At 44.8% G+C, this 14,564-nt stretch overlaps 1 long non-coding RNA gene across 1 annotated transcript in view; it reads left to right on the forward strand.

Moving 5' to 3' along the window:
* Positions 1–14,564, forward strand: part of LOC283038 (uncharacterized) — a 26,435-nt gene continuing 11,871 nt past the window's right edge. Inside the window, exons 1-2 of the long non-coding RNA NR_033848.1 lie at positions 1–89; positions 3,035–3,205. This is a non-coding gene — a long non-coding RNA (uncharacterized LOC283038). The remainder of the gene's footprint in view (positions 90–3,034; positions 3,206–14,564) is intronic.

Here is a 14,564-nt window from a genome sequence, read left to right on the forward strand (position 1 = left end):
ACTGGTTCCTTGCAGCTGTGACTCCCCAGGGTAAGAGGCAAAGAGCCACCAGGTCCCAGCTGAGGAAGCCCTGTGGTCAGCTCAGACAGGTAAGGACAAGATGATTTGGGGGTAATGGCAAACATTTTGTACCCTCTCAATTTTTGAACCAATAATGTTTGAGTTGCATGTCCCCCTGGCAACTGTATGTTCCAACCTGTTAGTTTTCAGAGAAGTAAGTTGAGTCCCAGGCTGGGGGTGACCTTGTCTGCATCAGTGGCACTGCTGCACCCAGGACCCACGCTGCCTACCATCTCCTTCTGTGGCAGCCTCTGTGTCTCAGCTCGGACCCAACCTCAGGACTCACTCACAGCCACTCTTACCTGCCTGGCACAGCATTGAGACCATGAGGAAGTAACACTCATGAATAATTATTATATGCCAAGTGCTGTGCTAAACTAAACATTCACCTGTTTTTATTTTTTCTCCACGACAACCTTCAACATTTACAAATAGGAAACAAGGGACATACAGCAATGGATGGGATGCCACAAGTCCCAGCAAGGTCATGGGCCAGCTCCAGAGCTCATGAGCCTTGCCAAGGGCCACCTGGCATCCCCAGGGCTGCAAAGGCTGCTCGTGAAATCTGGCGTTTCTCTCGGGGCCTGGACACACACGTCCTGCCTCCCTTCTACTCAGTAAGGTGTTTTCTGCTTTTCTTTCTTTCTTTTTTTTTTTAATGTTGTGTCTTGCCAATTCTCTTGGCTACTCCGTGTGAATACGAGAGTAAACACATGCAGGACAACCTGTCCAGCTGCTCTCTCACTCAGAAATTGTGTCCTCCACCCTTTCCTCCTCCAGTCACCCTCCTAGGTTTTCCAAGGAGAGTTGCTGTAGTAGTGATAGAGGACCTTATCCACTGCCAGCACTGAAGGGCCAGAGGTGGCCCTTAGATGTGACACCGGAGATGCACAGGTCCTCTTGCACTATGATGCCAAAAGCCACATGGTAAGGAGAGGAGGAAAAGGTGGTGGGCCACCTCTTTTGGTGTTGCAGAGCTGCTGTACCAGGCAATACTGTTGTGTGTGGAGTAAACCCTTCCAGGATTTCTGCTACCTGCTGACAAACCCAGTGCAACAGACACTATTTTTCACCTTTACCAGGCATTGCCCACTGCTCTCCAAAGCCCAGGTGTAAAGAAATACTCCCAGCAGCAGCAGTGCAAGGGAGTTCTGTCGTCTCACAGCCTTGCCAAGACGCACTATATTGATTACGAACAAATTTGACTGGGACAGGAAACCCGAACTAACAGGGGCTTAAACATGATAGACATTTATTCTCTCTGCGTAGTGAAGTCCAGAGGGAAGTAGTCCAGGCTCGATATGGTGGCTCTGCTGTTCAGGATTCTCAGAGATGAGGCTCCCTCCCACCTACCACCACTCACCAGCTCCAGGGGGCAGCTGTCATCACTTGGCCCCAGATGGCATCTGCGTTCCAGGCAGCAGAATGCAGAAAGGGAAGTAGAGGGGAAAGGGCGTGTCCCCATGGATCATATTGGGCCAACCCCAGTTGGCTCAGCTGCTTCCTCCTAAGGAAGTTTCCTGGCAGCTGCCATACAACACTTCCTCTCGTGGGCCAGGACTTCAACCACATAGTCAGGCCTCACTGTAAAGGGAGCTGCAAAGTAGGCATTGTCCTGGTGGGATGATTGCCCAGCCGAAAGTTTAATTACCATGGAAGAGACAGAGAAGCAAAATCAAAGGACAGCCTGAAGGTTCTGCCACCCCAGCGGGTGTTCTCTTATCTTTAATTTGATCATTTAATTCCCCAAATTCTAACAAGAATAAGCCTAACTTCATTCCAATTAGCCTGGCCAGGGCAGGGGGAGGGTGCAGAAGACGATGCACAGTGCTGTCTACTTCTCAGCATTGTGCTCACATAGCACCTTATAAATACTCTGCAAACTCTAACGTACTTTGCAAAACTAAGGAAGAACACATGAAAGGCACGTCAATGTTTACTAAGTACTTTTATATTCATTGTTTTATATAACTTTCACGACAACCCTAAGACGTGTGCTGGTTATCTTTCTTTTGTGTGTACCCCTCTCCCAGTCATTCTCCATCTATTCCCTGTTCTGCAGTCTGGAGTCTAAGCTGTAAAGGCTGTATCCCCTATTCCCCTATGCTTTGGCTCTTTTTGCTTTTGAATTTATTATTATTATTTTTTGAGACAGAGTTTCACTCTTGATGCCCAGGCTGGAGTGCAATGACACGGTCTCAGCTCACTGCAACCTCCGCCTCCTGGGTTCAAGCGATTCTCCTGCCTAAGCCTCCCAAGTGGCTGGGATTACAGGCACCAACCACCACACCTGGCTAATTTTTGTATTTTTAGTAGAGACAGGGTTTCACCATGTTGGCCAGGCTGGTCTCGAACTCCTGACCTCAGGTGATGCGCCCCCATCTCGGCTTCCCACAGTGCTGGGATTACAGGCGTGAGCCACTGCGCCCAGCCCATGCTTTGGCTCTGGTTGGATTCATCCCATAGGAAATAGCAGTGGGAATCAGAAGGGCAGAAGGAGATAGACAGTGTTGTGCTCATAAATGGTTCACAACCAGCTCTCCAGAGGAAACGCAGCCTGATTTGTAGTGGCATCTGCCAATTTCCATGCATAAATACTTCCACCATGGTGGATTTCAAGCTACTGACATCACTGAACATGGAATTGGGAAGAGATGTACATAACACATTCTGATACATCACAGGTTCAAAGTACTGGCCCCCCAGGCTCTATCCCTACCAGGCCAGAATTTGGAAGGGGCTGTATTTGTCTACTTATGTCCATAGCTCCTGCCGGGCAGCCCCTTCCCCACAGCCACAGTTCTCCCCGCTCACAGTGCCCTCTCCCTACCCCTTTGGCCCAGGGATAGACAGGCTTCCTGCTCTTGCTGGTCCCAGGAAGCTGCACCATTCCTTGTCAGTTCCTGTAACCCTGCCCACATCTCTGAGAGGAGACCCTTCATTACAGTCTCGTCTGTCACTGGTTTCACTGCAGGGATGCGGACTGAAGCCGAAGCAGGTGTTAGTAATTGTCGTACCTACAGACGAGGAAACCGAGCCTCCATGAAGTGAAGTGACTCACCCACAGTCACACAGCTAATATATGCCAGAGCCCACAGCAGAACCCAGACGTACTGAGGCCAAGTTCCATGCCAGCATAAAACAGGTTTTGTTTTAATGCACTTGCTTGACGCTGTTAAATTATTGAGCAGTGATTTTATAAGAGGATTCCTTTTAATTCCCTTTCCTTAACCTGCACAAAACAGGGCCTGCTGAAATGCCTAGCGCTTCAACAAGGTGAGCTCTTGTAGGCCAGGGGCCAAATGACGGACATCATGTGCCACCAACACCACACAGATGAAGGCGGTGGGCCAGGGCAGAGTTCTGGTTCTCCTGCATCCTAAGATGAAAGCTAAAGTCAGAAAGGAGGGAGGAAGACAATGACGACATTTAAAACCTAAAAACAGCGGCCATTTCCAACTCAGTATTTCACACACATTCACTTTGTCTCAACCAATAGAGCAGAAAATCTCTTAGAACTGAAACTTCATTTTCAAATATGTTTCGCATCTCCTCTGTATTTAGTCTTATGCTCTGTTAAACAAGGTATATGACCGCTGGTTAACATATGTTCCAATTTTCTCCTTTTGAATGATTGTTTAAAATTCTAACAAATTTGTCCAGGAAAATCAAAACTGAACAAAGAAACCTGGCCAGAAAAAATGAAATTCTACTTCTCTTCAGCTAGGATTTATTTCTCAGCCACAGATTGGAGTAGGGATGCTCATGGTGGCTGTTATTATTTTCAGAGGTTTAAACTACTGGGCTGTACTTTGTGACCCACCATTCTGAAAACAAGTCCTGTAGCACCAAGGGTCCTCAGACCACCAGGGCCGAGAACGCCCGAGGGTCAAGTTGGGTCCTGCCTCAAGCCTTATGCACATGCTCGCACGTAGTGGTCCAAAACCGCCAGCTAGGGACTGTCTGCAAAGACAACACTGAGCCAATCTCTGCTTCAACAAATATCACTGCACATTTGCCATGTGTCACAGCACTAAGGCAATCACCAAAAATCAGTTCTTTATAAATAGCAAATCATGAATTTAGCAATACATTCAATGACCAGTACCTCAAAACTATTGATTAACCAAAAATTATTTTCACTGGACTACCTACAACATTAACAGCAAATTGTTTTGTCCAGTGTATTTTTTGACATGACAGTTTTTGTGGACTTTGAATTTTAAGTCTTTTTTCTTAAAGATAGTGCAGGGTAAATGCGCCTATGTCTTCCATGCATTTCCAGGGCAGCATGCCACTCCTCGTTTTAATGATTTGCTGTCTTTTGCAGGAGAGGAAGTGGTAGAATTAGGGAGACTTTGCAGGAATGTTCTCACATGTGTGTCTGCACATGCCTACCCACAAGTCCACCCACAAACACTCAGCTGCCACCTATGCAGGCATGTTACAGTTTGTCGGTCTACCAAATGAAAGATTCATTTTCATGTTTACATCTGCAAATCCTGGACAATTAAACATGCATATGAGGAAGGCCAATCCATTTGTATGTAAAATGTTGACCATCTAAGAAATACTCAGGTATCTTAACTATAAAGCACATTTTGGGCTCACCTTGTAAGGGTGAATCTGGATTCTTTCTGCAAATAACAACCAAATTGAAGTGACTCAGCTGCATTTATTTATTATGATACATGATTCATATGGTACTAGTAGAAATTGTCATGAATATACAGCACATTTGTATGCTGCCATCTTGAAAAGTATTCAGGCATCTATAACATAAAGCACATTTTTTGTTACCCTATGTTGCAAACTATATGGAAAATCAACTGTATCTCTCTTGCTCACACTCAAGGGAACAATTCCTGGATCAAGACAAGAAAGACAAAACCAGTTGAAAGATAAGAAGGATAAGTTGGCCCACTAGAACTTTTTTTTTTTTTTTTTTTTTTTTTTGAGATAGAGTTTCACTCTTGTTGCCCAGGCTGGAGTGCAATGGTGCGATCTCAGCTTACTGCAACCTCTGCCTCCCAGGTACAAGCGATTCTCCTATCTCAGCCTCCCAAGTAGCTCAGATTACAGGCATGCATCACCACGTCTGGCTATTTTTTTTTTTTTTTTTTGTATTTAGTAGAGACGGGGTTTCACCATGTTAGTCAGGCTGGTTTTGAACTGCTGACCTCAGGTGATCCATCCGCCTCGGCCTCCCAAAGTGCTGGGATTGCAGGCGTGTGCCACCAGGCCCGGTTAGAACATCTATTAAATTGAAAGGTAGAAACTAACTGTAATATTTACAAAACTTCTTGACTCTGCTGATGCTCATGACACCCCAAATTCAAATTTCACAAGACATTGTCATTGTAATGACTGAATTTTTGACATCCTTGCCAAAACAAGAATTGCTATAAACTGTCCAAATCATTTCTAGAAAAGCTTTTGGTTAATTGATAACTTGGAGAATTGGTCACCCAAAGAAGTGCTGTGACCTAGGAAATTGTACTGGATACAGTGACAGGCGCAGTAAATACAGTCACTGACCTCATGAAGCTGAGGTAAGGGAGATAGACATTATTGCACAAATAATTGGTATGACTGTGAGAGGTCCAGGGTGCTCCAGGAGCCTGTGACAGTGAATGAATGTGAAAGACGATGAAGAAATGAAGAATGACGTCAGCAAACCAAGGAAGATGGAGAGTGTCCCAGGCAGATTGATGACTGCTGCAGCCCTGATGTTGGGAGGAGCTTGGCTCACTCAAGAATCTAAGAGGAGGCTGGGCACGGTGGCTCACACCTGTAATCCCAGCACTTTGGGAGGCAAGGTGGGCAGATCACGAGGTCAGGAGATCAAGACCCTCCTGGCCAACATGTTGAAACCCTGTCTCTACTAAAAATACCAAAATTAGCTGGGCCTGGTGGCGGGCACCTGTAATCCCAGCCACCTGGGGGGCTGAGGCAGGAGAATCGCTTGAACCCAGGAGGCAGAGGTTGCAATGAGCCGAGATCACACCACTGCACTCCAGCCTGGTGACAAAGCTAGACTCCATCTCAAAAAAAAAAAAGAACCCAAGAGGAGGCCAGAAGGGGGCTTTGATGCCACCGAGAAGGGCATGGGTGAGAGCCAGGCTGGAGGAAGGACCAGGGAGGCAGATCATTCAGGCAGCCCGAGAAATGTGGACAGGCACCTTGCCCTCGGTGACCTGGACCAACTGACAATGTCAGTAGGAGGCAGAGATGCAGGTGATGGGCGACAACAACAATAAAATCAGCTGGGAGCTTTGGCCTTCTGAAAAAAAGCACCTTAGAAATAAGACTCACACTAGAATATAGCAGATGTGTTGAGCGTATTTGTTCTTTCTCTAAATTCCGAGAAAGGCGGAAATATTTAGTTGGATTTCTGTTTCTCTACTTGTTGGGAGTTTTATTCCTATTTCCACTTCTGTGTTTCAATGTTTGTTGAGGTTTACATGAAGACTTTATGCTATTGTTTTCACTCCCTGGAAAGACAGCTGCTTTTGTCCTCTCGCAGTTTGAACGGGCTAGTCCTCCGAAAACACAGACTAAAAGACAGCAGTAATTACATGTGTGGTTCAAAATGAAGAGCACTAAAATGGAAAATGCCAGCCTCTAGAATCGTGAAGCAAAATGGCAAAATAAATATCTATTTTTCAGCTGAAGGGAAAACGAACAGTGTCTTAGAACATGACAGAAAGTTGATCTCTACCCCACACAGGGACAGAATTAGGGCAGGCAGGGTTCCTAAATGAAGAAGAGATCTGCAGGCCTTTTAAAAACCTCTCTTATCCTCTTATTTTGTACTATAAAACATAATGGAGATCTCATCAACTTGGCAGGAAATCACAAGCTCATAAAAGAGCCTTGTTACAAAGATAATAATAAGACAAAGTCATAAAAGGCAGACTTGGGCTGAGTGCTGGCTTTAGGCTTCACTTTCTCCAACTCTACAGGGATCTAGGGTTCATCAACTCAGTTAATCGTGTGGATGGCCACCAATACAATGTGTCCTTTCTTGATCTTGCTCTTTGTTCACATTCCAGGGCATTTTTGCCAATGGGGTGTGCCTTGGAAAGGCGAACGGGAAATGTACACCACATTGAGCCTTACCATGTTGCCTTCTGCACACTCAGCTGAGTAAACGATACCGTAACGGAGAGCTGATAGGGCTGCCATCAAAGCCCGTCTAGACACTTCCCTTCACTCCAGGGATGACTGGCTGGTTCTTTGTGGCCATCAGCCTCCACTCTGGCTTCAGTGCATCTTGTCACCAAACCATCAGCTGTCTTTTTCTTTTCCTACCCCCCTCATGTTTGCTTTGGCTGTAAGGTAAGGGAACCCTCCTTCAAGGACCTCCCTGCTCCAGTTGTGGACCTGGGACTAGCAGCATCAATATCACCTGGGAATCTATTAGAAATGCAGGATCTCAGGCCCCAGCCAGACCTACTAAATCACAATCTGTGCTTTAACAAGATCCTCCAGGTGATTCATGCTCTCATTAAAGTTTGAGAAGCGTCTCCTTATAGAATCGGGAGAGGCACCTGGGCTGTGTCTAGGTCAATACCACCTCAGTTCTTCTAAGGGAAGGACAACGGATTGCCAGTGCCCCTTGGGCACATTTGACCTTGCACCTGCAGATAAGCGCTGAAGCCTTTTCTCAACCTGCTACCTTTAATTGGACAGCGGTTACTGTACTGCTAAACTTTTAAAGATTCAGAAGCCAAAGTCAGGGACCAAAAGAGTCAGTTTGCATTGTGTTTACCTAGAAGGTTTTCCCTCAGGAGCTCAAAACCTTTCTAGACTGTACCATACCCACCTTCCTGTGTGCCTGATATGCAAGTAGGGAAGTGGATAATGTTTTACCCTGGAGGATCCTGAGACACACGCTGTTTCTTTGCAGAGTTACATAAACATGTTGCGGTGTGGCTGTCTTAATGTTTAATTTAGATTGCTGCCCCATTGATTCAACTGTGGCCCAGGCACATGAGAGTAAACCAAATTCACGGTTTTGCCATGCCACGGTCCAGTCGTTTTGACTGTACAAGAACGACCACATAAGAGCTGTGCGCCTAATTAAGCACTTAGTCAATAACCCACTCCCTCTGGACTGAGTCATTTGCTTTATCCATTGCGGAAACGAGATCAAGCTGGGCAGTGAATGTGGGTAATTCATGCAGGAAGAACGCATTTAAGGTGAGGGTGGATTGATTGGAATTAGTTATTTCAGACAGCAGAGCGAGAGAGACTGAGAGAGAGAGACTGTGTGTGCGTGTATGTGTGCCTTCCCTCCCCAGGTGATTCCAATATTCCTTTACAAACAGCACGGCAAGGTCAAGTCCAGCCTCCAGGCGTGCAAGTACATGTGGGGACTATTTAGCGCCAGCATCCCAATGTGGAGGTGTTGATGCCACCGTGCTGGGCCCAGAGATTTGGGGACAGAGTCTGTCATTGGTATGCACACAGCTCACTACTGTATGATTTTTTTAAGTAATTTGATGTGTCTAATTGTTCTGCGGTGAGATAAGAACATTCCATTTTATCTGAAGTCACAAGACAGCTTATTGACGACACTGTCTTACTGGTACAGCACATAATAGCATTGTTAGGGGAAATGTCAGCGAAGTCACTGAAGGGTGGAAAAACATGAAATCAAATTTCTCACATGACAATAGCCCAAATATTCACTGGGCTCTTGCTTCCACAGAATGTGGCTGAGGCTTCTTTTCAGGCTGATTTGTTTCGCCACGGTACAGTGTCCATCCAGCCAACCCAACCAGCAGCCACACATTTTAGCAAGTCCTCTACGCTTCCTCCTCCCAGGAAGAGGTCTGCACACTCTTCCCTATGCTTTAAAAGTCTCTTTGCAGAGAATTCATTTTCATAACATCCCGAGCATCCTAAGACTTCATGTGTATTCTTTCATCAGCCATCTGCTAGGGGAGATGCATCCATAAGACATCTTCCTTCACTGGCATAATTAAAAGAGATTCTCTCCCTTCGAATGTTGTGTTACATTTATATTCAAAGTTATTTTGCTCTCTCTCTGCCCTTGCCCTCAAGGAATTGTGGGAATTCAAGTTAATAGGCTTTTAATGGTTCTGTGATAACTGTGATTATAAACTGTGAATCAGATCAGGGAGAGCATCCAAGTTCAGCTGCATCTCACGCAAAAAGACACCACCATTGCTTTTGATCCTCAGTGGAGATTTGGTTTTCAATGTTCAGACACCACCATCCTTGGGGAAAAAAAAAGAAGAAGAAAGGTACCTCATTTGCTTTGCAATTGCTTTGATAACAATTTTAAAGCTTTTAACTACACATTCTCCTTTTGATATGTTAGTGGTATTTAGAAACACATCCTGTTGCTAAAAATTAAATTTCAAAGTCTACGATTGTATTTCCTGCTTCCTTTTTGAGGGGAAGATGCTGGGTTTATTTAAAACACATGCAACATGTTGGACACACACACACACACACACACACACACTGCCTTCAACCTTTCACCACCAAATATTTAGAAATAAATTTTTACTGTGTTCTCTGAACATATAATTACTGCTTTGAGGCTAGTTAATGAAAATATACTTTTCTTTGAAACATGTTGGCTTTACTAAATGAGCCTGTCCTTGTGAGTCCATAGATGAATCGATTGTGAGCCTCCTTTAAAAAAGAGGCATTTTGATCATTGTTGCCAGATGTCTCAAGAAAGCCTGCCAGGCTGGGGCTAGAAACGCAGCCTTAAAATAGTAGGCACGTAATTGTACCATCAGCCAGTTAGGGCCCTGAGAGCAAATTAGCAATCACTCCCATTGGCCAGAATAACTATGACTTTTGCGTGGCCGGCCCAGGGACATTCCGGCAAGCATCTCCTACTTTGGCCAATTGTTGCTGGCATCTGAAAAGGCCATAATAAATGATTGGCCCTCAATTTTAAAAAGCTGCTTTGCTGAAACACCTCAGCTCACTTCCCAGGAAAATCCTTATGGCCATTTCTAGAGACCAAGCCATTGTCTAGACAAATTAACCTGTGTGGTTGGAATACGTAGTTCTGAATGCCAGGGCCCTTACTAACACTGGCCTTTGGAGAGAAGGTCTTGCTCTCACGTAGGGAAGTCCTTACCTACAGGCCCTCCTTCAGGGATTGTCCAGTAGAAAACCCACGAGATCGAAAGCTGAGTAATTGAGTGACAGACGCACTGCCTTCTTGAATAGGCACTGTCTCAAATTGGAGATTGCATTCACCCCAATGTAAGGAGACATTTGAATGAGAAGCAGTGGGAAGGAATAGACCCTGAAAGACCAGTTCGTCTGTAAAGAACAAAGAGCCGCTGTAGCAGGAAGTCTCACCTACAGAGGTTGGCTCTCACTTTAGGCACTGTTCACTGGAGCTGCCAGGCCTGGCATTAGGACAAAGAATTAAGAAATTACTATTGGCAGCAAAAAGTAATTGGGTAGCAGTGGCTCCCAAAAAGCCTTACAAATATCCATATCTTATGATCCAGCAATTCTACTCCTGAGAATTTACCCCAAGAAAATACCCAAGTATTCACACAAAGATTTATCCCTAAGTATGCTCATTACAGCATTTGTTAGGGAAAAAAATTGAAACAATTTATAGTAGTCCTCCCCTTATCCAAGGGAGAAATGCTCCAAGACCCCAGTGGATGCCTAAAACCGCGCGTGGTACAGACGATCCCAACATAGAATGATTCCGCTTGTGAGTTTTCAACTTTTCAGTGGTGCAAAAGTGATACCCAGACAGCAGGCTCCTGGACGTACGATGGTGTTCAACCTAAGATATGTTAAATTTACAATAACTTTATCTAGATGTAACCCCATTGTAAGTCGAGGAACATCTGTTTATACTACTTTCTTTTCTATACATACGTACTATACATTCTATACATACATATGATAAAGTTTAACTTATAAATTAGACACAGTAAGATATTAAAAACAACTAATAATAACATGGAACAACTATAACAATATACCATAGTAAAAATTACATGAATGTGTTTTTTCTCTCTCTGTCAAAATACTGTAATATTTTTGGACCACAATTGACCTTGAGTAACTAAAACTGCAGAATTAAAAAGAAAAGTAAATACATAAATAGAATAATCCTTTTTGTAAATATATATCCACATATTATGGGAAAACTGCAGATTACACAAATATTTAGAATTATTTATTTCTTTTTTCTTCATTGAGCGTTTCCAAATTTCCATAAGGAACATATTTGTATTGTGGTCAGAAACAAAATTTGACGATTTTTTAAAAAGAAGGTATGGCAAACCAAGTAATGTATGATCAATGTCTTGCGGCAATTCAAGACCCAGACAATTGGAAGGCTGTATAAATTAAGCTACAAAACCCAGAGAACTAGAGGTGGTCTGCAAAGAATAGAGACGACCAGACTGGCTGACGGTCAAATCATAAATTTGCATGTGTTCCAAAAACGTGTTCCACCGGCAATCCTCCAAATTGTGTCAGGTGCTTAAAATACCACAGTGCATAATAGGTGATCCCTATTCAAGGGTTCAAATCCTGACCGAGGAACGCATCCACATTTCCACAGAAGCACTGTCATTCCACCCTGTGGCAGGCAGAGAAGCTTTCCTGTCAGCTCCTATGGAATCCACTTTAATAAGCCTTGCACTATGGAATGTGAAATCATAGAAAGCTTAAAGAATGCTGAGACATGGTGCTTGGCCTCACCCCAGACTCTTAAGAGGGAAGCCTTACAGTCAAACAATGAGTAATAATAAACCTCCAAGTTCCAGTAAAATTCCTGATAAGATCTTTAAGCAGGAAGGCCATGACCAGCTAAAGTGTCTTTATGGGTTCCTCTAAACACAGTCGTGAAATTTTCAAAGCTTCCACCCTCAGGAATCAGACTCAAAAGAAATAAATTGTGTGTGTGTGTGTTACATATAAATCTTCTCCATTATTGAAAGCTTTTGGCATGATTTCTTTAGTATCCAGTGCTAATTTTTACAGTAAATAGACAGCCTGACAGATTCTTACCTAAGGGGTTAAGGCAGGTGCCAAGGGCACTGGCCAAGTGATCCAGACCAGGGTTGGGTCACAGGGGCCAGATCTGAATTTACAGGGCAGTCATGGGGGACTCGGAGGCAGGAGGAACTGGGTGCATGGAGGCCATTTGGGGCTTGCCTCTCCAGCATCCAGCATCCCTCTTTTTCCAACAATAGCTGTCTCTCCATCTCTCCTGATTGTCATTCCATATGGCTTAAGTGGAGTTGATTCTGCCCTTGCTCCAATACCAGCCAATCAGAGCAGCCCATTCCCCTGGCAGTAATGTTTGCTTCTGCCGTGGGTACATGACCCAAATCAGAGCGAATTAAACTCCGTTCTAGACTCTTATTTGGGCAGAGAATCTCAATCTTTCCTGACAGATTTGAATCTAAAAGCACATGGGCTGGCATTTCTGCTGCCACCTTCCCACGCCCATGCCTCGAGAATGAGGCCAACTCTTGGAGAAGGCTGTGGGAGGAGCTGAGGGGTCTTGGGTTCTGGCAACTCCAGCTGAACCTGCACCTGAACCCGGCAGTACCTCTGAACCTTTCTGCACATCAACCAATAAAGTTTCCTTCTTGCTGTTAAGAGGGAATGAAGATTGAGGGAGAAGCTAGGAAAGAAAGAAGACTTGGCCTCCCAGGCTGAGTGTGAGAGGACGCTATGGAGATGTGCCATACTAGACAAGTTTCTTTCCAGTGGGAAAGAGAGAGATGGGGCCACTGGAGGGTAGAGGGAAAGAAAAAAACAGGCTCTGCTCTCCCAGGATCAGAGACTCCTACCAGAGTCCAGGCTAAAGCCTCCAAAGCCCAGGACCACATGTCTCTCCCTGACCCATGTTTCTGACCCATCCCCTGCTGTCCACCAATGCTGAGCATGTCTCAGTCCTCTACCATGCTTAGCCTCTGCAAGACAGGGTCTCCTGGTATTGACTGTCTCCAGGAGAGCAGGTGGGAAGCTGAGCCCCAATGTGGGTGGGGAAAGGAGAGGGGGAATTCCAATTCCCTGGTCCCTGTGGACCCTCCAACCCCAGCCCACCCACTTTGGGTTTGATGTCACCTGCAAAGCACCATTGTTCCTCCTGGGAAAGGACTTCTTTTGGAAAATCCTGGGGCCTTCACGACAGCCCCACCGCTCATCCTATAATTTCAGCTTTCCCTCCACCTGGCACAGACAGACCAGATGCACACCTCAGGGACCAAGCGACCCCTTCTTGTCCTGAGTGTAGTTTCCTTTTTGTTGACAAGACCAGCTCCTCTGTTACCCACAGGGCCCAGTCACTCCCTTTAGGGTCTGACAGGCATGGTAAGGAAGTTATGAAAACTTTGAAAAAGCAAAAGGCAAAGGCCCCACCAATTCAATTTCATAGAATAAAATTGATAGGTTCCATATTCAGTATATTCCCTTAATCATCCCCATATCAGTATCATTCATATGCAATTGTTTATTTTTCTGTTAAAAATCAGCATTCTCATCTGGCAACTTTGTTGACCATGTTTTCTGGATTTCAGTGCACTTGGACTCTTCGGTCTGAAAAAATTGCTAACCTCTGTTTTAACCCAATCTCCAGTGCAGTAAAACAATGTTTAAAAAGCACATTCAGAATAATTTGTTATTATTATATAATAAGTCATACTTGAAAACAAAACTCACCTGAATGCTAATGCCTCACTATTTCTTTAGACAGCAGGAATATTTCCCAACACTTAGAAAGCAAACAACAGGCCAGGTGCAGTGGCTCACACCTGTAATCTCAGCATTTTGGGAGGCCGAAGTGGGCGGATCACATGAGGCCAGGAGCTCAAGACCAGCCTGGCCAACATGGCGAAACCCCGTCTCTACTAAAAATACAAAAATTATCCAGGTGTAGTGGTGCACGTCTGTAATCCCAGCTACTCGGGAGGCTGAGGCACAAGAATCATTTGAACCTGGGAAGTGGAAGTTGCAGTGAGCCAAGATCACGCCACTGCACTCCAGCCTGGGCAACAGAAGGAGACTCAAAAAAGAAAGGAGGAAGGGAGGGAGGGAGGAAGGGAGGAAGGGGAAGGAAGGAAAAGAAGGGAAGGAAGGGAAAGAAAGAAGGAAAGAAAAAGAAGGAGGGAAGGAAGGAAGGAAGGAGGGAGAGAGGGAGGGAGGGAAGGAAGGAAGGGAGGAAGGAAAAAAAAGAGAAAAGAGAGAAAGAGAAAGAGAAAGAGAGAAAGAAAAGTGAAAGAAAGAAGAAAGCAAGAAAGAAGAAGGAAGGAAGGAAGGAAAGAAAAGAAAAGAAAAAGAAAGAAAGAAAGAAAGAAAGAAAGAAAGAAAGAAAGAAAAAGAAAGAGAAAGAAAGAAAGAAAGAAAGAAAGAAAGAAAGAAAGAAAGAAAGAAAGAAAGAAAGAAAGGAAAGAAAAAGAAGGAAAGCAAGCAAGGAAGCAAGTAGCCAAAGCCCTGGGAACCCATCGAGGAATGGCCCCGGA

The sequence above is a fragment of the Homo sapiens genome, chromosome 10 (assembly GCF_000001405.40).
Source record: "Homo sapiens chromosome 10, GRCh38.p14 Primary Assembly".
Lineage (NCBI taxonomy): Eukaryota > Metazoa > Chordata > Mammalia > Primates > Hominidae > Homo > Homo sapiens.